The sequence below is a fragment of the Homo sapiens genome, chromosome 5, assembly GCF_000001405.40.
Source record: "Homo sapiens chromosome 5, GRCh38.p14 Primary Assembly".
NCBI classification, from domain to species: Eukaryota; Metazoa; Chordata; class Mammalia; order Primates; family Hominidae; genus Homo; species Homo sapiens.
Genome location: NC_000005.10, coordinates 76,492,449 through 76,516,480, shown reverse-complemented (window position 1 = coordinate 76,516,480; position 24,032 = coordinate 76,492,449). Strand labels below are relative to the sequence as shown.

General features: G+C 42.1%; 1 protein-coding gene and 1 pseudogene across 4 annotated transcripts in view, besides 2 other annotated features; both read right to left on the bottom strand.

The window, feature by feature from the left end:
* The window catches only part of IQGAP2 (IQ motif containing GTPase activating protein 2), a 304,848-nt gene that overhangs the window by 191,652 nt on the left and 89,164 nt on the right, over nucleotides 1–24,032 (bottom strand). The window lies entirely within an intron of this gene.
* Nucleotides 4,838–6,080, bottom strand: SRXN1P1 (SRXN1 pseudogene 1; annotated as a pseudogene).
* Nucleotides 16,388–17,309: an enhancer, noted in NCBI's record as "OCT4-NANOG-H3K27ac-H3K4me1 hESC enhancer chr5:75794997-75795918 (GRCh37/hg19 assembly coordinates)". NCBI's record gives its function as "activates a minimal SCP1, AML or CMV promoter by ChIP-STARR-seq in naive H9 embryonic stem cells {active_cell/tissue: H9 hESC(naive)}" and the evidence as "EXISTENCE:reporter gene assay evidence [ECO:0000049][PMID:30033119]".
* Nucleotides 17,310–18,232: an enhancer, noted in NCBI's record as "NANOG-H3K27ac-H3K4me1 hESC enhancer chr5:75794074-75794996 (GRCh37/hg19 assembly coordinates)". NCBI's record gives its function as "activates a minimal SCP1, AML or CMV promoter by ChIP-STARR-seq in naive H9 embryonic stem cells {active_cell/tissue: H9 hESC(naive)}" and the evidence as "EXISTENCE:reporter gene assay evidence [ECO:0000049][PMID:30033119]".

The following is a 24,032-nucleotide window of genomic DNA, read 5'->3' as shown; positions in this document are numbered from 1 at the left end:
AATATGCCATCAGCTACTGTTGGAAGGCAAACATCACAAGTTGACTTAAGTTTTGTTATAGCTTGATGATTTTTATAAGTGAAACAAATACAAAAGCTTAAAAAGTATGTCCACCTGAAATCTTAATAGGATGCTTATCTTTCCTCAAAACAGTAAAACATACTGAAACAACCTAATATTTTAAGAATGGTTCGGGCAACCACATTACATTATAGATTTATATTAAGTTTATAGTCAACTAAAATCTTAAGCCTATTTTCTGCATATTATTATTAAACTATACTTCCTTTTAAAAAGATCATCCCTGGCTGGGTGTAGTAGCTCATGCCTGTAATCTCAGAACTCTGGGAGGCTGAGGCGGGAGGATTGCTTAAGCCCTGGAGTTCTAGACAGCCTGGACAACATGGCAAAACCCCGTCTCTGTAAAAAACACAAACATTATCCAGGCATGGTGGCACACGCATAGTCCCAGCTACTCAAGAGGCTGAAGTGGAACAATTGCTTGAGCCTGGGAGGTCAAGGCTGCAGTGAGCCATGATCTCGCCATTGCACTCCAGCCTGGGTAACAGAGTAAGACTCTATCTCAAAAAAAAAAAAAAAAAAAAAAAGATCACCCCCTTGTTCCTCAATGAGGACATTTATATATCTAAATCCACTTCTGACTTTCCTGCTGATATTTTTCTTGACCTTCATTTTTAAAGAATAAAAAGAAAACAAAACAAAAAAACTACTTTATTTTTCTAAAAGCACAGTATATGCAGTATTTGGAGTTTTGCCGTTTCACATCTGGACATCTCTCAAGCTGAAATTCAACTTGGTGAAATGTGCTTTACTTAAACAATTTTTAAAGCAAATAAGAAACAAATTTGTTCCTATAGATGCACTTCTTTATCTCCTTCTCACCTCTGTCCTTAAGTCATATTCTTTCAAGTCAACTACTTTTCTTCAAGCTGAACTCTTAAATGCTAGAGGCAATAACTGAGTTGCTAAATATTTCTACTTCATCTCCCCTTTTACTTAAGATAAAGAAAAAGACTTAATGGATATATGCAACTCATTTTCACTTACTTGAAAATCTTTTACTGGAATTAAGCCACAAAAGGTTAAAAAAGAAAACTCCAGGAGAAAAATCGCTTGATAAAATAGTCACCAGATTCCTCAATCTTCAAAGAATGTAAAACAGTGATCAAAACAACAGCATCATTTAAATATTTTCAATCTTCTAAAAGGAAAAATAGGTAAAGGCAACCCTTTGTCATGTAACAAGCATGGTAAGCATGTGAAGAAGCATGATAAGTACGTGCCCTTCTTTTGCATGTGGTTAGATGTTTGACTGGTTTAAAATGTACTGGTTAAAACATATTAATACCAATCTAAACTCTTCATTCAATACATAGTAGAGCAGTCAAAGTAGGGCTACAAATCCCAAATATAATATGCCAGTGATCAAATACCAATAAATGAGAGCATTCTAATGTCAGAAACATATCAGCTATTGCACTGTACGTCACAATAACAGTCATATAGGCAATGAGTTTCTCTTCCATTTCACCTAATAGCAGAGCTCTGGATAGACTGAGAACACAGACACACTGAATTCAGCTGAATGCATTTTTCAAGGACCCACTGTATTAAAAGCACTCCAGGTGATTCAAAAACCAAGGTGGAGGGAAAACAGTCTTAGTCTTAACCATCAGGTAACCTACAGTCCAACTGAGGGGGAGGGGGAGGCAAGTACAACGTGATGTTTAATGCAAGAGTGTCTGAACAAATGTCAACAAGCTACAAACAACATACTATGATAGAGGTCACTTCTGATTTCAATGACTGCTTCTAACGAGATTTCAGAGAGGACAGACCACGTGATGCAGGTGATGGAGAAACCGAGGAGGGAGAGTAGCATGAACAAAGGTTTTTCCCCAGGGGAATGATAGACTCAGGACTCCATTTCAGGAAGATTAATCTGATGGCAGGAGGTAGGACAGGCTGGGAGTGGGTAGACCAAACGTAAGCAGCTAGCATGCTGGCAGCTGGAATGGGAGAGAGAAAACAGATAAGGAAAAGCTCATCCACAGAGCTAGCAAAATATCAAGTGTGCCATCAAGGACAGTGGAATTTTTACCATGATTGATGTCTTGTGGCCTGGGGTCAGTAATTTTAAAAATGAAGGGAATCCTGCCTGTAATCCTAGCACTCTGGAAGGCCAAGGTGAGTAGATCACTTGAGGTCAGGAGTTCAAGACCAGCCAGGCCAACATGGTGAAACCCCGTCTGTATTAAAAATACAAAAATTAGCCGGTTGTGTTGATGGGTGCCTGTAATCCCATCTACTCGGGAAGCTGAGGCAGGAGAATCACTTGAACCCAGGAAGCAGAGGTTGCAGTAAGCTGAGATCATCATGCCACTGCACTCCACCCTGGGTGACAGAGCAAGACTCCGTCTCAAAAAAAAAAAAAAAAAAAAAAAAAAAGGCAACAAATAGACTTTTGAGCAGTTTTAGGTTTACAGGAAAATTAAAAGAAAAGTACAGGATTTCCGTATAGCCCCTCACCTATGCCCATTAATGTCTTACATTAGTGTGGAGCATTTGTTACAATGGATGAGCCAATATCCATATGTTATTAATAACTATAATCCATAGTTCATGTGATGGCTCACTGTTGGTGTTGCACATTCTGTATTTTGATGAATGTATAATCCACTATGACAGTATCATCCAGAATAGTTTCACATTCCTAAAAATCCTCCATGCTCCACCTATTCATCCCTCCCTCCCCTTAGCCCTTGGCAACCACTGATCCTTTTACTCTCTGTAGTTTTGCCTTTTCCACGGTGTCATGTACTTGGAATCATACCATATGTAGCCTTTTCAGCCTTAGCTTCTTTTGGATGGCCCAATAGCTTCCACTAACTCTTTCACTGTGGCAAATCAATATTTCTGTGGCTTATATGGAACATGGGAAGTTACTGAACTTCAATGTCATAAGTGTGTTTTATAAGGAATTCTAGGAATTTTATACATATACGCAAACTAGTTTAAGTGTTTGAATTATGCCAGATTTTACCACTGTTCAAGATCATCATCCCTATCAAGAGTGGTGTTTTGGTGGCAGACAGACCTGGTTCAGACCCAGAGCTTTCCCTTCCTGCTCTGGTCTTGATCTTTGAAATCTCAAGGGTTCTTAAAAATGTATTTTGGGGAAAATGCCATGTTCCTCAAAGGAGTGCTGTAAGGACTGACTGTGATAATATGCCTAAAATATTTAGCACAGTACTTGGCACAGAAAGAGTACACAATAAATGGTAACTATTAATGTTTCATGATCTCTGTAAGCCTTCTACCAATGAAAAAGCATTTAAAACTAGCCAAGGCCACGAAAGTGCAAAAGTAACATTTCTTTTCTTTTTTCTTTTTTTTTTTCTTTTTGAGACAGACTCTGACTCTGTCACCCAGGCTGGAGTGCAGTGGCACAATCTCAGCTCACTGCAACCTCCACCTACTAGGTTCAAGCGATTCTCCTGCCTCAGCCTCCTGAGTAGCTGGGATTACAGGCGTGCGCCATCATGCCCAGCAAATTTTTGTATTTTTGGTAGAGATGGGGTTTTGCCATGTTGGCCAGGCTGGTCTCGAACTACTGACCTCGTGATCTGCCTGCCTCGGCCTCCCAAAGTGCTGGGATTACAGGCGTGAGCCACCGCGCCCAGCCCCAAAAGTAACATTTCTAAAAACTCATACATAGTATATAGTTGATAGAGGCAAAACATTGCAGTCATTGGAAATACTTTTTTCTGAAAATTGTAATTTGATAGACTGTCTAAAAATCTGTAAACTTCCACATCCTCAGTTGCCACTAGGTAACATCTGAGAAGCACTCCAGTCTCACTATAGTACTAATTAGCTTTTCCCCTGTCTAATTCAATAGATAGTATCACACTTCAGAGTTTGGTTTCTTTACAGACTGACACCAATAAGCCCAAGTTATCTCTTAAAGATCACCAATAGAGAAAGCAATTAAAAGGTTTTGATTTCATGGAATCAAAAGTTTAGCTACTAAAGCAGAAAGGTTAGCACGTGTAAACTTGGTGCAGAGAAGGATCATGAACTCGTGAAGCTCCCAATCCTCCTAAGGTTTTAAATTTTCCTTCTCAAGATACAAAAGCCTTATACAAAGTCTGAGTTCCACACTTTCAATGTGTCTTACGATCTGTTTTTGGATGCCCAAGTAACTTCTTGGGATAGGATTCTGGACCCTCTTCTTTAATAGTAAATTCTGTATTTTGGCTAATAATCAAGCTCCACTAGAGTTTCTGTCTTCAAATAGTTTGTCTTTCAAACTCTGACACACCCCTATCTCTCAGTTTCCCTGTTACTGCAATATGAGAATAAGAATTAGAATCCATCTCCAAAGTACCCTGGAGACAATCTGCAATGTAATATAATCTTGACCTAAGGATACTGATGAAAGGACTATATGCCAATTGTCTGTATAAAACTCATTTAAGGCCTGGCGCGGTGGCTCACGCCTGTAATCCCAGCACTTTGGGAGGCCGAGGCGGGCGGATCACGAGGTCAGGAGATCGAGACCATCCTGGCTAAAACGGTGAAACCCCGTCTCTACTAAAAATACAAAAAATTAGCCGGGCGTAGTGGCGGGCGCCTGTAGTCCCAGCTACTCGGGAGGCTGAGGCAGGAGAATGGTGTGAACCCGGGAGGCAGAGCTTGCAGTGAGCCGAGATCGCGCCACTGCACTCCAGCCTGGGCGACAGAGCGAGACTCCGTCTCAAAAAAAAAAAACAAAACAAAACAAAACAAAAAAAAACTCATTTAAGAAAGACACTTCCTTTTTTTGTTTAAATGGGATTCCAGTTTTATTTCAGGAGGCAGTGTGCCAGTCTCAGTAGATGGAACATGACTGGTCTACTCAACCAATACAACTCTGTTCCCTACTGTCTTAACTTTCTTCACAGCTACAGGTGCAGTGGTAGCTAGCTCAGGCCAAGGGCACCTAAGTGAAAATCTGCAGGAGGAGAGAGCAGGAAACAGGTTTCTGACAGAAGTTTTACTTTTTGATAGAAGTTGACAGGTCCAGCGAGCTTGGCCCTTCTTCTTCCCCCACTCCTTTTGTCCTTGATCACAGACATGATTCTTGGAGACATGGCAGCCATCTTGTGACCATGAAGTAACAAGCAAATGAGGGCAAGGCAAAAGGATCTCGGAGATGTGACCCCTACCATCACACAGCTGTTGAACCAATACCATTAGCCACCCATCTCTGGAATTCATGCTATGTGGAAAAACAAACTTGTTTGTTTAAACCATCGCAACCAAGGTTTTCCTTTCCTTATGGCAGAATGTAGTCCATATAATAGGGTTATATAAAGACAAAAATGCAGTAGGATCCTTGTTCCTGGGAATGTGGAGCCAGCAGCATGTGGCTCTGCAAGCCCATCTCTGTTCTCCTTTCATTCTCTCAATAATGCTTCATGGGTAAGGCCATGATCCAACTGTCATAGATGTTGGAACTGAGGCTCCCACACTGTTCAGCATGAGTCCAAGGCCTTGCAGCTGGTGAGAGGGGTGCCCAGAGTGAGACCCTCCCCACAGGTGCAAAGAGAATGCATCCCTGCTATCCCTTCTGGAAGGCCCAGCCTGCTGGAGGCCAGGTGTGTCTTCTGGGCTCTTGGAGGTGGGGGCAGGTGCCAAGGAGGTGGTTACTGCAAGTCTGGTGTGGGTGCCCCCAGGTACACCCTTAGGTCCGAGAGGGTGAAATGGACAAGCTTGGCAGTCTGGCTGCAGCTGCTGCTAGGCTGTTTAGCGGTGGCAGTCCCCAAAGGAGTAGAAGTAGTCACCTCCCTGGGCCCCTCTGATCTAGAGGACATCGATGGCACACTGTCTGGGTCCTTCCAGATCGTGTCCATGAGACTCTATACCTTGGCGGGGTCCAGCACAGATGGCAGCAGCCAGATGAGCACCACGGGAGATGCAGCCTGAGTGGATCCTGCCACCTGTGTGCTGCTGCCTGGCCCGGGACCCTCAGGCGCCACCCCTGCCTGTATGGGCCCTGCACCGTCATCACTGCATCCCCCAAGAAAGACACATCTTTATTGCAGTTGCTAATACTATATTGGAAAACCTTCTTAATGATCCAATAACATTCAACAAGGTTAAAAATAAAAATTAAGACCAGGCACAGTAGCTCATGCCTATAATTCCAGCATTTTGGGAGGCTGAGGCGGGTGGATCATCTGAGGTCAGGAGTTCGAGACCAGCCTGGCCAACATGGCAAAACTCCATCTCTACCAAAAATACAAAAATTAGCCGGGCATGGTGGCGGGTGCCTGTAATCCCAGCTACTCAGGAGGCCGAGGCAGGAGAATAACTTGAATCCAGGAGGCGGAGTTCACAGTGAGCTGAGATTGAGCTGCTGTACTCCAGCCTGGGTGACAGAGTGAGACTATCTCAAAAAACTAAAAAACAAACAAAAAAAAAAAAAAAAGAAAGAAAATTAATCATTTAAATCTATTCAGTGTGAAAAGGAGCTCTCTAAATATTGTTTCCCATAATTTTAAGATATGGAAAACTATTAGCAGCTCTTAGGAAATGTTGGGTGGGAAGAAAGTTTTATTATTCATTCTGCCCACAGGTACACCCTTAGGTCCAGGAGGGTGACTATCTACTAAGGGTAAAAGTACTACGGATACTTTTCTCATGTTCTGTCCTATGACCCATCTCTGCCCTCAGGATACTCCCAAGTCTAGACATAAAGACAGTTTAAAAAGGACAAGGAATCTGGGCACAGTGGCTCACACCTGTAATCCCAGCACTTTGGGAGGCCAAGGCAGGAGGATCACGAGGTCAAGAGATTGAGGCCATCCTGGCTAACATGGTGAAACCCCATCTCTACTAAAAATACAAAAAAAAATTAGCCGGGCATGGTGGCAGGCACCTGTAGTCTACTCGGGAGGCTGAGGCAGAAGAATGGCGTGAAACCGGGAGGCGGAGCTTGCAGTGAGCCGAGACTGCACCACTACACTCCAGCCTGGGCAACAGAGTGAGACTCTGTCTCAAAAAAAAAAAAAGGACAAGGAATTGCAAACAAAAAACAAATTGGCAAGTACTATAAAAGAGAGAGTTTATAAGGTACAATTGAGTCTTGCTTTTCTCACTCAACAATACGATCATAAACATTGTTCAGTGTTACTATTCAGTCTTTCTACACATCATTTGTGAAGTCTGCCTAACACTCCCATTGGCTGGCTAGATTAAGATTTCCCATTCTTCACTATACTAAGTGGTGTCATGATAAACATGTGGCATTTACTGCACTTGAGATGGTTTTCTTAAGCAGAGTTTAAAGACAGACATTAAAGTATGAAATATATATATACACACACACGCAAGCATGCACACACATACATACATACACACACACACACACACACACACACACATATATATACAGCCAAACTGTTTACCAAAAAGGCTCCCCCAGAGCACACTGTCATCAGCATGGTACATGGTACACCTATTTCCCCGAGAGGATCAGGATACTTAAAACAGAGGGTACATGTAGGGGCTGTATGCATGCTTGCATTTGTGCTTTTACTAAATTAACAGGTAGAAAAAAGGGACCGCATGGTTTTGTCATTTTGTGGAACTGAGCATGCTGGAAGCTTTTAGTTTTACTTTTTTGTGAATTGGCTACTCCTGTTCTTTGTCCATTTCGTATTTTTTCCTATGAATTTGTATGCCTCTCACGTGATCTTTAAAAAAAAAAAAACAAAACAAAACAAAAAAAAAACCAGAGACAGGGTCTCACTATGTTGCCCAGGCTGGTTTCAAACACCTGGGCTCAAGCAATTCTCTTGCCTCCGCCTCCCAAAGTGCTGGGATTATGGGGGTGAGCCACCAAACCGGGTCTGATCTTTATTAAATTCTAATACTTGATCTTTGGTTTTCAGAGGGGTTCTGGAAGCCACCCTCTGTACCAGCCCATCATAAAGGCCATTCTAAGACGTATATAGTGATATCTCATTGCTGTTTTAATTTGTAATTCCCTAATGGCATATGATATTGAGCATCTTTTCATATACTTATTTGCCATCTGTATATCTGTATATCTTCTTTGGTGAGGTATCCATTCATATCTTTTTTATTTTTTTAGATGGGAGTCTGGCTCTGTCACCCAGGCTGGAGTGCAGTGGCGAGATCTCGGCTCTCCTGGGTTCCAGCAATTCTCATGCCTCAGCCTCCCGAGTAGCTGGGATTATAGTCATGTGCCACCATGCCCAGCTAATTTTTGTATTTTTTTTAGTTGAGATGGGGTTTTGCCATGTTGCCCAGGCTGCTCTTGAACTCCTGACCTCAAGTGATCCACCTGCCTCAGCCTCCCAAAGTGCTGGGATTACAGGTGTGAGCCACTGCACCCAGCCCCTGTTCATATCTTTGGCCCATTTTTTTTTTTTTTTTTTTTTTTGAGAAGGAGTCTCACGCTCTATCACCCAGGCTGGGGTGCAGTGGCGCGATCTTGGCTCACTGCAACCTCCCAGGTTCGAGCAATTCTTCTGCTTCAGCTTCCTGAGTAGCTAGGACTACAGGCGCGTGTCACCACGCCCAGCTAATTTTTGTATCTTTAGTAGAGATGGGTTTCACCATGTTGGTCAGGTTGATCTTGAACTCCTGACCTTATGATCCGCCTGCCTCAGCCTCCCAAAGTGCTGGAATTACAGGCGTGAGCCACCGTGCCTGGCCCATTGGCCCAATTTTTAATCAGATTGTTTTCTTATTGTTTAGTTTTAAGAATTATTTGTATATTTTGAAAAACAGTCTTTTATCAGATATATCTTTTTTGCAAATATTTTCTCTCAGTCTGTGGCCTGTCTTTTCATTCTCTTGACATGGCCTTTCACAGAACGGAAATTTTTAATTTTAATTTAAGTCCAGTTTATCGATTCTTTCTTTCACAGATCATGTCTTTGGTATTGTACATAACGTCAATGCCAAACCTACAGTCATGTATAATAGATTTTCTATTATAAATCTAACAAAACATGTACAATAAATATCTAGGAGTTTTAGAGTTTTGTGTTTTACATTCAGGTCTTGTTCATTTTATGTTAATTTTTGTGAAGGTTGTAAGGTCTGTGTCTGGGTTCATTTTTGTGCATGTGGATTCCAGTTGTTTCAGCACCATTCGTTGAAAAAAATTATCTTTTCTGCCTTGTATCACACCTTTGCTCCTTTGTCAAAGATCAGTTGACTATATTTAAGTAGGTCTATTTCTGAGATCCCTATTCTGTTCCATTGATCTATTTGTCTGTTCTTTCACCAATACCACACTGTCTTGATTGCTGTAGATTTATAATAAGTCTTAAAGTTAGATAGCAACAGTTCTCCAACTTTGTTCTTCTCCTTCAATATTGTATTGGCTATTCGGGGTCTTTGCCTCTATCTATAAACTTTAGAGTCAGTTTGTCAATATCCAGAGTTATTTGCTGGGATTTTGATTGGCACTGCTTTGGACCTATAGATCAAGTTGGGAAGAACTGGTATCTTGACAACATGGAGGGTTCCTATCTGTGAACATGAAATATCTCTTCATGCATTTATAGTTCCTCTTTTATTTCTTTCAGAGTTTTGCAGTTTTCCTCACATAGATCTTGTACATGTTTTGTTAGACTTATACCTGAGTATTTCATTTTTGGGGGTGTTGATGTAAGTGTGTTGTGTTTTCATTTCAAATTCTACTTGTTCATTGCTAATATATAGGAATGTGATTTACTTATGTATTCATCTTTACATTGCAATCTTGCTATAATCACTTGTTAGTTCCAGAATATTATGTACATTTTTGTATAAAGCAAAAAAGAAATTCTTGAGACAATAAGTTAGAAAAGTAGATGCTCTAATATTTCCTTTTCACTTTTGATTCTGGAGATCACTGTTACTGTCTATTTTGGAGTCCAGTTGTCTTAACTGTTATGTCAAATCCAAATAAGATGCATAGATTTGTGCCTATTGGTCAATATTTTTCCCATTAACTTCCAAACTTTGAGATAAGTTCATGCCACTGCTTTCAGGGAAAAAGATAGTAGTACTTAGGAATTGCCCATTAAGTGCTTACATTTTCACACATTGGAAGCAAGAAGCTTACTGGCAAGAACTAGTACTTAGATAGGGTATGAGAATGAGGGTGAGGAAGGTGATAGAGAGAGGGGAAATAGCCCAGTCCTTCGTCCTGCCCTCAAGTAGCTCTCTCGGGTTACTTTCTGTACAATGTTTGACCTACGAATGGATCAAGTCCTCAGAGCTGTCCAGGGGTTTGAAAATCTGTAGTGCTTTTGTGGATCACAGAAAACTATGGATACTTCCTGACTTCACACTAGTTCATCTGCCCATTCTTGTGTGGTTGATGGTAGTGTAAACAGATTTCAAGGCACAGGGTGTGTCTCTTCTTAAACCTCCAAACCTAGCACAGTATCTGCTACACAGAAAGTGTCTAATTAATGTTGAACTTAAATCATAAGTTCAAGACCTCATTACGTAATGAATGATAGTTCCTGTAAAAGTGTGGGGGTTGCTGAGCAGAGGGGCAATGGTAAGGAGATGCTTACCAGGAACAGGAATAAAGGTGGGCAACCAGCGTAGTGCCTAGAACATAATGGGTGCTAAGTAAAAGTTTCTTGAATGAATAAATATGGTCTAAAGAGACAAGAACCAAAAGAGTAGAGAGGAAGAGCTGAAGCAGACTGAATAAGAGCTCCAAGCCAGGAGATCAGGAATACACCTGCAAAACTCTGACAGGCCTCCTCAGGAAGCAGTGGAAAGTGGACTTGGAATGTTACTTAGAGGTTGGCAGCAAAATCTCTGATCTAGCTCTACAGCTCCCCAAGCTTGTTACTTAAGAGGATTTTTTTTTTCTTAAAGAAATGACCCTAAGGAAATTAGCATCGGTAAAATGCAAGTCTCCTCAATGTCTCCCTAATTTCTCTACTAGAAGAAGTCCTGCTCCATTCTCCCTGTAGCATCACAGATTTTTATCAGTAAAATCAAATAGCAGCAACTGTCTCTCCCTCAAGGAAGCCAGTGGTAGCAGCAGAAAGAGCCTGGGCTTGGGTGTTGGCTCAGCTCTGGGTTGACTCCCCAGTTGAGATTTGCAGTTTCGACGGTTTCCTGGATTAAATGAGATGTGTACAAATTGCTTGGCACAGTGCCTGACATTCATTCACTCATTCATTCATCCGCTCATTCCTTCACTAGACAAATATCTGTCAAATGCTCACCTGGTGAGGGGTCTGCCCTAGGCACTGAGCATATACTGTAAGCAAAGACAAAGCCCTTATTGCTGTGGGACTTAAGACTCTAGTGAGGGTGCCATACAGGCCACAAGAGCTTACCCCCCTAGACACTGACCTCATTTGAGCATCAAGGGAAGCCTCCCCAGAGGACATGACCTTTGAACATGAAATCAGGAGGATGGTGGGCAGTGGGGAGGTGGGGTGGATTTCAGCAAGTGGGGGCTGGTGTAAGGCCTCTAAGGGGAGGAGGGTCCACCTAAGCAGGGCAGAGAGGGACAGCTGGAAATCAGGCTAGTGAGTGAGGCCAGGGCTAGATCATGCTGGGCCTAAGGACAGAGATTTAAGAATCTAAACTGATAAAATGTACTGAATACAGAGGGAAAGCAAGAGATTACGGTATTAACTCCCAGCTTGCAAAGTTAAGTGGATGAGAGCGTCCTTCACATGATAAGGACGTGAAAGAGACCAAATATGTTATTTTGTTGTCGGGGGAAGGCTTATAGGTAGGAGGGAGGGTTACAAAATAATGAGTTTGGATTTAAACATTTAAAGTTTGAAATAGTACACAGTGGCGGAGAATGTTGAGTTTGCAATCACACACACAGATCTGGGGCTCACGGAAGTGGCCTGGGCTGGAGCTACACATTTGGGAGTTGGCAGGAAATCTCACCTGCATCCATCTATACCATATAGAGAAGGTACAGACTGAAGCCCAGGACTTTCGCACTTAGGTGTTGGTTATACAGAGTAACACAAATGGAGGGAGAGTGGCAGTAAAATAGTAGTAATAAGAATTAGGAAGGCAGAAAAACCTTACAAGTAGATAACCCCAGGCAATGGAGGCTCAGCTACCAGTTCCCCTGCCTGACTTTGAAGCCACTTAGCTGAGCTGTATCCAAAGACTCTGCCTGCTCCCTCACCACCAGGACAAGAGGTGTCGAACAGTAGAAGGTGGCAGGAGGCTGAAGAGATGCAAGGTGCAGAGTACTGGGTGAAAGGAACACGCTCACTGATCCCTGGACATTACCCTATTACTGTTTGGAGGAAGCAAGCTCCTCTTTGTTAGCACGCTATGCTCTAAAAGTCAAGGCCGCTGCCAAAGTCAGTGCCAGCTTTGATCATTCAGGGATTCAGCAGCTTTAGCAGGGCATTTGAAAAGTGCCTATCAATCTGGTCAAGTCTTGTGAGACACAAGATTCTAGGTAGATACTGCTAAACAGCACCAACCAACAGAAGAATATCTGTACTCCACAAATGAATATCTGTCTGGCCTAAAAGAAAAGTAAGCTGAGGTCAGGTGCGGTGGCTCACACCTGTAATCCCAGCACTTTGGGAGGCTGAGGTGGGTGGATCACCTGAGGTCAGGAGTTCAAGACTAGCCTGGCCAACATGGTGAAACCCTGTCTCTACTAAAAATACAAAAATTAGCTGGGCATGGTAGTGCATGCCTGTGATCCCAGCTAACTCGGGAGGCTGAGGCAGGAGAATCACCTGAACCCAAGAGGCGGAGATTGCAGTGAGCCGAGATCATGCCACTACACTCCAGCCTGGGTGAGAAGAGTGAAACTCTGTATCAAAAAATAAATAAAATTTTTAAAAAAAAAGTAACCTGAGAGTTCTTTTCTAAGACTCCACAAACACAGGAAGGTATGACAACAAAACTCAATCTATACCACAATAAAAATAAATGAATTAGAAAATTAAAAAGCAGCCAGGAGCGGTGGCTGATGCCTGTAATCCCAGCACTTTAGGACACTGAGGCAGGTGGATCGCCTGAAGTCAGGAGTTTGTGACCAGCCTGGCCAACATGGTGAAACCCCATCTCTACTAAAAATATGAAAAATTAGCCAGGTGTGATGGCAGGCACCTGTAATCCCAGCTACTCAGGAGGCTGAGGCAGGAGAATTGCTTGAACCCGGGAGGGGGAGGTTGCAGTTAGCTGAGATCGCACCATTGCACTCCAGCCTGGGCAACAAGACCAAACTCCGTCTCAAAAAAAAAAAAAAAAAGAAAAGAAAAGAAAAAGAAAAGGAAATTTAAAAGCAAAATTTAAAAATAAAGATAATTAAAAAGTCAATCTGAGCTTTACATCATATTTATTGCTTCCAGGAGTAACCTATCATAAGAAAATATTTGGAGGTCGGGCATGGTGTCTCATGCCTGTAATCACAGCACTTTGGGAGGCTGAAGCAAGGAGGATCACTTGAGCCTGGCAGTTCAAGACTAGCCTGGGCAACATAAAGAGAACCCTCTCTCTCTACCAAGAATTAAAAAAAAAAAAATAGCCAGCTGTGGTGGTGCATGCCTATAGTCCCAGCTACTTGGGAGGCTGAGGTGGGAGGATCACTTGAGCCCAGGAATTCCAGGCTGCAGCAAGCTATGACTGCACCACTGGACTCCAGCTTGGGCAACAGAGTAAGACCCTGTATTAAAAATAAAGAAAATGTTTTTAAATTCTCTTCTTTTGAAACAAATTGTTTTACACTTTAGACATGAAGTAGGGCCTCATAAAACTATTTTATGTTGCACTATTCCCACAATCACAGTTTTAAAAAAATCTATTTTAATTCAGGCATGATTAACTGAACTAAAACCAATGACAGCACTATTTAGGTTGGACACCTACAGTGTAAGAATTCAAACATACACAAAGTGACTGACTGCCTTCCTCCACTCCTTTTATTGTCCCTCAGCAAGTGGTGGTGGCTGTTGGCATTTAATGGCCATTTGAAAAAATCCCAGTAGTGTTTTACTATTCACTGGTCACAGGCAGGGAATTTTCCTATCCCCAAAAAACACTGTGGCAAAGCTGAAGGTGATGCTTATATTAATGAATACTTTGGTGAGGTTAACCACTACCATCTCACTAAACTTAATAACAGCCATACTTCCACCTAAACAAACACAGCCTTTTATTCATCTTCCAAATCTCTACACATCTTTGAGTTCGCAGAATGTGCCCAAGGATGCCACAGTGACTATACCTGCAGAATATAATGAGCAACTGTATCTGTGCCAAATGGAGTCCCCTCTCTTTCCAAAGATAAGCAGGCGACTTTCTAGTCAGCTTTTCAGCTTGGCATTGTAGCTGCCACAGCAACCATAGCAACCATTTTATTCTTCTAGACTTTACAGGGCCACGTCTTCATGGGCAAAGCAAAGGAGGAGAGTGGCTTCCTCCCAGGTTGTAGCACAATCAATCACAGATGCACAACTGTACAACTGTAGAAAATGCAGCAGGGGCCAGGAGCGGTGGCTCACACCTGTAATACCAGCACTTTGGGAGGCCGAGGTGGGTGGATCACCTGAGGTCAGGAGTTCGAGACCACCCGGACCAACATGGTGAAACCCCCGCCTCTACGAAAAACACAAAATTAGCCAGGTGTGGTGGTGCATGCCTGTAATCCCAGCTACTTGGGAGGCTGAGGCAGGAGAATCACTTGAACCCAGGAGGCGGAGGTTGCAGTGAGCCGAGATCGTGCCATTACACTCCAGCCTGGGTGACAAGAGTGAAACTGTCTCAAGGAAAAAAAAAAAAAAGAAAAGGAAAAAGAAAATGCAGCAGGAGGGCTGCTTAGAACATAAAAGCTCAGACTTCACTTCATAGTGGTATGGGGTGGGAGGAAGGTGGGGGAATTAAGGGAGGATAAGGGGGAACACCAGACAACCCAACACTATAGACTCTTCAAATAAAAGCAGAGCATGCAATACTGTTCCGATTCTCAAAAAGTTATTTTCCTTTATAGTTTATTATTTTTAATATTCTTTTAAAATTAAAAATAGAGCCGGGGGTTCTTACTATGTTGCCCAGGCTGTTCTTGAACTTCTGAGCTCAAGTGATGCCCCCCCACCTCAGCTTCCCAAAGGGCTAGGATTACAAGCATGAGTCACTGAACCTGGTCAAGAAATTATTTTTGTTTTTCCACATTCCTTGTGGAAGCTTGCCTTCATCTGGAATTTTCTGGCACCAGTACCACTTAAAAACTAGAACTTAGTCATGTGTTATTCTTGTTTAGAATTAGGCAGAAATACTATATTTCTGTTTATGTAGTTTCGGACTGTGTTTTTGTTCCTACTTTATCATTAAGCAAGTTCCCATAACGTCATCATCACATTTAATGGTCAATTCCTTAAATGTACACGGTGCCTCCAACATACAGCCCCATAAAGTCAGCCTGTCCATGGTAGAAATGGCAAGGGTTTTGGAAACACAGACTTGGACTCTAATCTCAGTCCTTTGGCATACTCTGTCATCAAGGCAATTTACCTAAACATTCTGAAATGTAGGTTTCACATCTGTAAAATGGGGAGCTGCTGCAGCTCACAGCATGTTGTAAAATTAAATGAGTATATAAGGCACGGTACCGGAAAGGCTATTCTATGATCTGTAATTACCTTGAGCTCTAAAGATAAGAAAGCAACCTAAAATGATGACATTATTGAAAAATACTTATGATACAGTAGGAACAAAAACACAATATAAAACTACATAAACAGAACTAACTTGATTCTAGAAAAAAATAATAATAAATGGAAGAGCCAGGCACAAAAGGGGCTCATAGAGACTAGCAATGTGCTAGCTCTTAAATTGGAAAGTGGTACCCGTATATTTAGTATTCCTTAATTCATACATATATGTTCCATGCACTTTCGTAGACATGATCTATTTCACACACAAATCTAAGTTAAAAAGAAAGAGCAAAGACACCAAAATGTCTTACTACTTCTATAGAGTAAGGCTGTAAATGGAATTTATTTTTTATGCATTTCTATATTTTATAAGCTTTTTACAATGGATAAGAAAAAAATTTTAAGTTATAGCAATGCTATGCTTAGCCACACAGTCTAGCTATGGGAAGAACATCTCCGTTTCTTAGGTCCCTACCTCTACCAATGAACAAATGCAGCCACTCTAAATCAGTATCTGCATTCATTTTTAATTACTTGGGAGATTGGGAAATGTCTATTCTTTCAGGAAGTGGTAGCATGCAACAGAAGAAAGTAAATAAAGTTCTTCGAGGCTTTTTTTCCCCCTTTCAATAGATTTTATTTATTTATTCATTCATTCATTTTGTTGAGACAGGGTCTCTCTCTGTCACCTAGGTTGGAGTACAATGGTGTAATCACAGCTCCCTGCAACCTCAACCTCCCACGCTCAAGCAATCTTCCTGACTCAGCCTCCCAGGTAGCTGGGACTACAAGTGCATGCCACCACACCCAGTTAATTTTTGTCTTTTTTTTTTAGGGATGAGGTTTCACTATGCTTCCCAGGCTGGTCTTGAACTCCTGGGCTCAAGCAATCCTCTTGCCTTGGCCTCCCAAAGTGTTGGGATCACAGGCATGAGCCACCAGGCCCCAGCAGGATTTTTTTTTAAGGAAATTAACAATTGAGTTCTTACTGTGAGCCTATTCTCTTGGTAACAATTCTGTGAGGCAGCTCTTCTTATTCTCATTTTACAGGTAGCTTAAAAAGGTTAAGCAGCTTGCTCCAGAGTTGAGTTAGTAGGCCGACTAACCATTTTGCACAGCTTGACACTACTATCTTACCTTGAAACTGGAGCCTTTCATCAAATGCTGCTGGGTATGTGTGTGATGCCATGCTTTAAAAAACTGCACAGACAACATGCTAAGGTATTAAAATCTAAGGAACAATTGGCCCAAAGAGCTCAGAGAATTTTATTTTCTGCAACACCTCTCAGGCCCCAAGTAGGGAGGTGATGGTATCTCTCCCCTTTAAGGGAGTTGTTTTATTTCTGAATGGGGAAAGGAGATTTGGACAAGAAGCAACAATACTTTTAATATTGCTTAAGAATAAATCTGCTAAGAGGCCAAGAGGTAAAGCTGCTGTCTGATTCAAAGACAGAGGGGCAGAAAGAGTGAGCCCAGGTGCTTACATTTCAGAAGAAACCCTCTCCAGCACAAAAAAGACAACCAAGTTTATGGCAGCAGATCTGTGTCAGCGTTAGTACCTGAGATAGATTTTGAGAGTAGGTTAGGGGAGACGGCTTCTTGTGTTAAGACAATCATAATTGTGCTATCTCCACTGGTGGCAAATTAGAACCCAAATTCCCTGCCAGGTGGTCAGAATTCAAATCCTTGATGTCACAGTAATGGAAGCCCATCACACATCCCTGCTCTGTTCTTCACTAAACGAATTGCTAATATGTCTGAACAGCAAATCCAAGAGTTTGCCCAAAAGCCACTCTCCTGTTTCTACTATTTTCTTTTCATCCTCTTGCGGGCAAAGCCCCTCATCCCACCCCGTAACAACTCTCCTGTTGGGGGCACTATCTAGAACCCCAGACATCAAGCCAGCTCCCAGGTAACCAAGCCTCAGAGATGTATCAACATTGTCTCTTCCACTGATTCTGAATTATGGGCCTAGAATGCCAGATACTCAGATCCAATGGGCCTTAAGGAGATACACCAGGTAAGCTCAACTAACACCCAGTTGTGCAAATAGCAGTATGCCAAAACCAACATAAACCACATCAGTAGCTGCCATTTACTGAGTGCTTGCAAGGTTTAGGGACGGTTGTAAATTTTCATTTAACCCTAAAAACCCTAAGAGAAGGGAGTCTCCCTATTTCACAAAGGAGAAAACTGAGGCTTTGAAGTTCAGTAACAGCCCAAGGTCACAATGCTGGCATATGAAAGAGCCAAGATGCAAACCGACTCCCTGCTTTTCACCACAGCTCCTGCCTGAGGTTTGGAATGAGGAGGGCTTGGCTCTGTTTCTGTCTCTGCTACAGAAGTGTGACATGACCTCAGGCAAGTCAAGTTATTGAGCCTCAGTTTCCTCATCTGTCAAATGGATATAACACCATCTGCCACATTCCCACAATTTGGATGCATTCAATGAAGAAGAACTACAAAAACATTGAAAAGTCCAGCATTATGCAAATATGTGGCATTCAGAAGAGTGGAAATATGTAGATACTTGTTTATTCAACCCTGCATTCTGAAAAACAATTGGTCCAAGAGAATGCTGAAGCATCTCTCCGTTCTAAATTTGAATATGTATGTCATGCACAATCACAATGTCCATGGTGGGGACTGCACAGGCTTTTTGCTCTTACTATTGTGAGACAGTTAGAATGTTTGTTTTTTCCTTATCCGGGAGTTCCAAACTGTAAGAAGCCCATAACTTAACAATGCCTTGCTAAGTTTTTTCAGTGAGCCAGAAACTTAGGATATGCTGAGTACATGGAATCATAAAATATTTCAAAGTCTAATCACCAAAACACCAACCTCTCCCCACTTCAAGGGCCATAGGTGGTGGCCAGTACACCTGTGTACAGCAGAAAAAAAGGTTCCAAATATTCTTCAGGGCCTCTTAACCCTTGGTTAAGGGTGTGGTCAATCATCCTTCCTTGTCATCTTACAAATGTACCTCCAAACCATTAAATTGTTTTGCATTGTGGTATCGTAATCTCCAACAGCACTCTCACTTTGTCGTTTGCAATACCCATATAATTCTCAGCATTGTTCCTCAACATTCTCCCATACAGAGGAGAGCTGACTGAGCATAACTCCAAGCTAGTGTAAGGAGGGGGAGCCCAGTAGAGAATACGAAGTGCCAAACTTCTCATTTAAGAATGCCAGTGTAAGAACAATCCAAAAATGGCTTTTTTCAATTTAGAAAACAAATGAAAGTTTAAAGCTTGACAATGAATCTGAGTGAAACAAAGCAATGGTTATCTTCACTGAAATGAGTACTTATTATAAACATTGCACAAATAATAAAAGAAAGTTTTACATTTTAGAAAAGATTTTTTTAAAATCACCTTTGCAGGGATATTTCAATTATTCCTTACAAAGCAAGAAGTTTTGAGGTCCTGAAAAGCTCCCTTGGTTGGAAGATATCAGACAGCCACGTTTTCAAAGAAGAGGGCTGTGTCCTCAATAAACTCCAAACCGCAGAAGGCAGCATTAGTGGCTGTTAACAGTTAATATCAGGCAGCACAAAGTGCCTTTATCTTGCTTTCCAATCAGTATTATTAAAATATAAGCCAATATTTTTATCAACCAAATGTTTTGCTAATAGAAAGATTTGGGCCGGGCGCAGTGGCTCATGCCTGTAATCCCAGCACTTTGAGAGGCTGAGGTGGGTGGATCATGAGGTCAGGAGTTCAAGACCAGCCTGACCAACACGGTAAAACCCTGTCTCTACTAAAAATACAAAAATTAGCTGGGTGTGGTGGCATGTGCCTGTAATCCCAGCTACTCAGGAGGCAGAGACAGGAGAATCGCTTGAACACAGGAGGCAGAGGTTGCAGTGAGCTGAGATCGTGCCACTGCACTGCAGCCTGGGCAACAGAGCAAGACTCTATCTCAAAAAATAAATGAAAGAAAAGAAAAAGAAAGAAAGAAAGAGAAAGAAAGAAAGAGAAAGAAAGAAAGAAAGAAAGAAAGAAAGAAAGAAAGAAAGAAAGAAAGAAAGAAAGAAAGAAAGAAAAGAAAGAAAGAAAGAAAGAAAGAGACAGAAAGAAAGAAAAATATTTGGTACGTTTTCCTCTACTGTTTGAAACACATGTGAATATGAATACCATTTGTAGCAAACAGACTCCCTCCGCATGATCCCCCAACAATGTTCACACCTTCGTGTAGGCCCCTCTCCCTGAGTACAGACAGAACCTGTGATTTGCCTCTACCCAACAGTAGATGGCAAGGGGGACAGACTGTACTCTTGTGATTACCTTGCATCATATGAGACTCTGTCTTACTGGCAGACTTGTGCTTTGTCTTTCTCACTCTCCTTTCTTGCTGGCTTTCAAGTGCAAGCTCCTATGAATCCTTCAACCCCAGGAAATACAGTGTTGCTGACCGCCACATGAGCAAGGAACCAGATGCCTTTCTAGCTGAGCCTACAGATGAGAACCCAGTCCCAGTCAACACTTTAAGGCAGCCTTGAGAGACCCTAAGTAGAGGACCCATAAAGCTATGCCCACATTTCTGAGCTAAAGAAACCATTAGATGATAAATATGTAAGCTGCTAAGTTTAGGTAACAGAAAGCAAATATATCATTACCGTAGTCATTCCCTGTAAAGTGAGTAATCACTTCCTAATTCAAGGTTTCCAAGTTTGGTTCTCTTGAAGGAAGTGCCATGCCTCCGCTGAGGGCTGCTCTTCATAAGAAGAGCCATTTGTTCACTGAGCTTCACTCTGTGCTAAGAGCTTTGTATACACTTACCTCAACAACCTCAACACTACCTGATACGGTTTGGATGTCTGTCCTCTCCAAATCTCATGTTGAAATGTGATTCCCGGTGTTGGAGGTGGGGCCTGGTGGGAGGTGATTGGATGATGGAGGCAGATCCCTCAAGAATGGCTTTGTGCCATCCCCTTGGTGATAAGTGAGTTCTCACCCAGGTAGTTCATGCAAGATCTGGTTGTTTGAGCTGGGACCTCCCCCTTCTCTCTCCCTCTCCTGCCATGTGGTACACAGGCTACCTCTTCACCTTCCGCCATGATTGTAAGTTCCCTGAGGCCCTCTCCAGAAGCAGATGCAAGCACCGTGCTTCCTGCATTGCCTGCAGAACCATGAGGCCATTAGACCTCTTTTCTTTATACATTACTCAGCCTCAGGTATTTCTTTATAGTGACTCAAGAATGAATTAACACACTACCCCACAATGGTCCTGTGAGGAGAGGGATGATGGTTATACTCATTTCAAACACCCTTCTCCTTCCCAGACTCTACTCCTGCCAGCTGGTCCCTGGCAGCCCAGCAAGGCCTTCCCTCTGCCCTCCAGGAACTGAGTCACCTGAGCAATTCTGTCCCTCTAACCAAAAAGTGCCTAATAGACCAAATTGATCATGATAAGTCCATGTCCTACCTAACAGGCTCATGCCCTTGGACACAGCTCACTGTTAAACTATCAAACACCACGTAAAAGCATGAACATGCAGAGCAGACCGTTTGTGCTCTAGGCTGGTGCCTCTGAGTGTGGGTTCAACCAGTGCTTCTCAACCATTTTCATTACTGTACTCACCCTGAGGATATTTTTATAACATAGATATATTGTATATCTATTTATTGTATATCTTTTATATATAGGTATGTATATCTGTGCTTTATACATTTAAATAGGGTTTTTAAAATTTATGTATTTATGTATTTATTTATTTATTTTTGCCTTCTAAGAACCAATGTTTACCTCCTGCAGGGAGATACTGCCTCCACTGACAAATGGGTTATGTAATGAAAAGAAAACACCCTCACAGTCTAAATGGAAACTTTCCAGCTGGGAATTTAAAAAGGTCCCAATTCACTTTTGAAAGTTACTTATAAGATGGCAGGCTAGCTAATTAAAAGTTATCCAAAGGTTTGCACATGTCGACGTTCTCTGTTCTGATTTCCTGAATCTTCTTCAACAGCTTTCTTTAATGGGGAGGAGGTAGGGACAAGGAGGGTTGAGTGTATATGTGTATGTCAATGATGCATGTGTGCACAGGAAAAAAACAGGCTAGGTGACAAGACCAAAACAAAACAAAACAAAACAAAACAAAAAACAACAACAACAAAAAACTAAAAACCTTCTGCGGTGTGGTCCTTTTAGGAATTATTCTTTTCCATCTTGTATTCTATCATGTGCTTTTATTTAGCATTTTGTGCTGTGTGTGTTTAGTTCTCGAATTAAGAGGCAACAGAATGCTGAGGGCATGTACAATTGTGGGGGTATCTGAAATTCCCCCAAGATAATAATGATGGAGAACTTGTCACTGTTGTTAGGAATAAGTGGAATGCACCCAGACCATGCAAGCCAGAGAACCAGTGGACCTTATCCTCTGGTTACAACATTTTTATCCTCCACTTTAGCCTTGCAGATTACAAATCGTTTCTAATATGTGACTGAACCCTTTTGCCACATTTCTTTTATTTGAAAAGTCGCTTTCAAATTTTCTTTTCTAATTATTGTGCCCATTTTATAGAACTCTGCTCTAAGAATTTCAAAGAGAAAATACGTCATTTGAAGAAAACAAATAACAGGTAAAATATACACCTGGCCCTTCGTATCTGTGGGTTCTGCATCTGTGGATTCAACCAACTGCAGATCAAAACTAACAAGACAACAATAAAAAAAATACAAATTTAAAGAACAACACAGTAGAACAACTATTTACATAACATTTACATTACATTAGGTATTATAAATAATCTAGAGATGATCTAGCATATATGGGAAGATGTGCATAGGTTATATGCAAATACTACATCACATTATAGCATGGACTGGAGCATCTGTGGGGGCTCCTGGAGCCAATTCCCCGAGGATACCAAGGGGCAACTATATTTGGAATTTAGGCTGTGACAGGATCAACCTTTCTTTCTCATAAACAAAATCCACTTGGTAGTGGGGAAAAGTTAACTAGGCCGTACTAGTAAGAGCAAATAAATTACAAATCATTCGACAAATATTGACTGAGCTTCTTCTTTGTACCAGGCACTGTTCTAGACATTTGAGACACATCGTTAAACAAAACAGAAGCTGATTCCTGCCTTAAAGAGCCTACCAAATAAAAAGAAAAAAAATCACTAAATTAATTAATTCCAAAAAAAGAGCCACCTATGGGGTGGGGGGAGCAGTGTGGAGGATCTGACAAGAAACAACAGCAAATGACACATCATGGCAGAAGGTAATCAGTCATGACAACAAAAGGTAGGACAGGGTCAGAGGGGTCAGAAGGGCCAGGGTTAGGGCTGGGGGACAGGTTACAATTGTAAATAGGGTGGTCAGTGACACTTCAGCAGACTTCAAAGAGGTGAGAAATCAGACATGGAGACACACAGGGAAGGAGGGGCCTTGGGGAGCTTTATAGGGGTGAGAGGAACAGCAAGGAGGCCAGTGTGCTCAGAGTGGCTGGGCTGAGCAGGAGATGAGGCCAGAGGGGTGGTGAGGGGCGGGCGGGGCCCTGTGGATCTTCATGAGGACTTTGGCTTTTACTCTGGGTGCGACGAGAGCCACCGTGAGTGTGGGGAAGAGAAGTGACGCGATCTGACTTAAGATTTAAATGGATCACCCTGGCTGCCATGTTGAGAACAGAGCAAGTGGGGACAAGGGAAGCAGCAGGAGACCAGTTAAAAGGGACTGAAGTTGACAGCATCAGGGAGATGTCCGGTTAAGTGACTAGAGCAGCACAGGCAGCATTGTTTGTTTCACTGTGAACAAAGCCCAGATCTGCAATCCACGATCTGCACATCCTGTGACTATGCTGGTACGCATATCAGTCAACCAGCATCCTTATCACCTCCTATGGATTTTCCTTCAGGTTGGAATCTTCTCACTAGAAACGTGACAACTAAGGTGATTTTGTTTTCATGCCCCTTTCTCCTCAAGGGACACTACTCATCACAGACTCTCCATGGCCTGGCACATGGGACTCACTTTGTAGGATGAGTGAAGAGCGGACTGTGTCTTGGGTCAGGATGCTCCCTGCCTAGACTACTGCAAAAGTCTCCTTCTCTGCCCAGTATTCCTCTGCTTTCATCACTAGACTGTTTGCTCCCATTTCTTCAAAGTTACAAAACCTTCACACACTCTTCTGTACGTCAGGATAACACCCAAATATCTTTAGCCTAGCAATCAAGGCTCTCCGTAACTGGCTTCTGGGATTCCTTTCTTCCTTCCCTCCCACTGCTAATTCCAGAACAGGAAATCTCTGCTCCAACCTTTTGCCCAAATACCTTGCTCCTTCTCAATGCTAATCTTTTCCTTGTGCTCCTCCTCGTT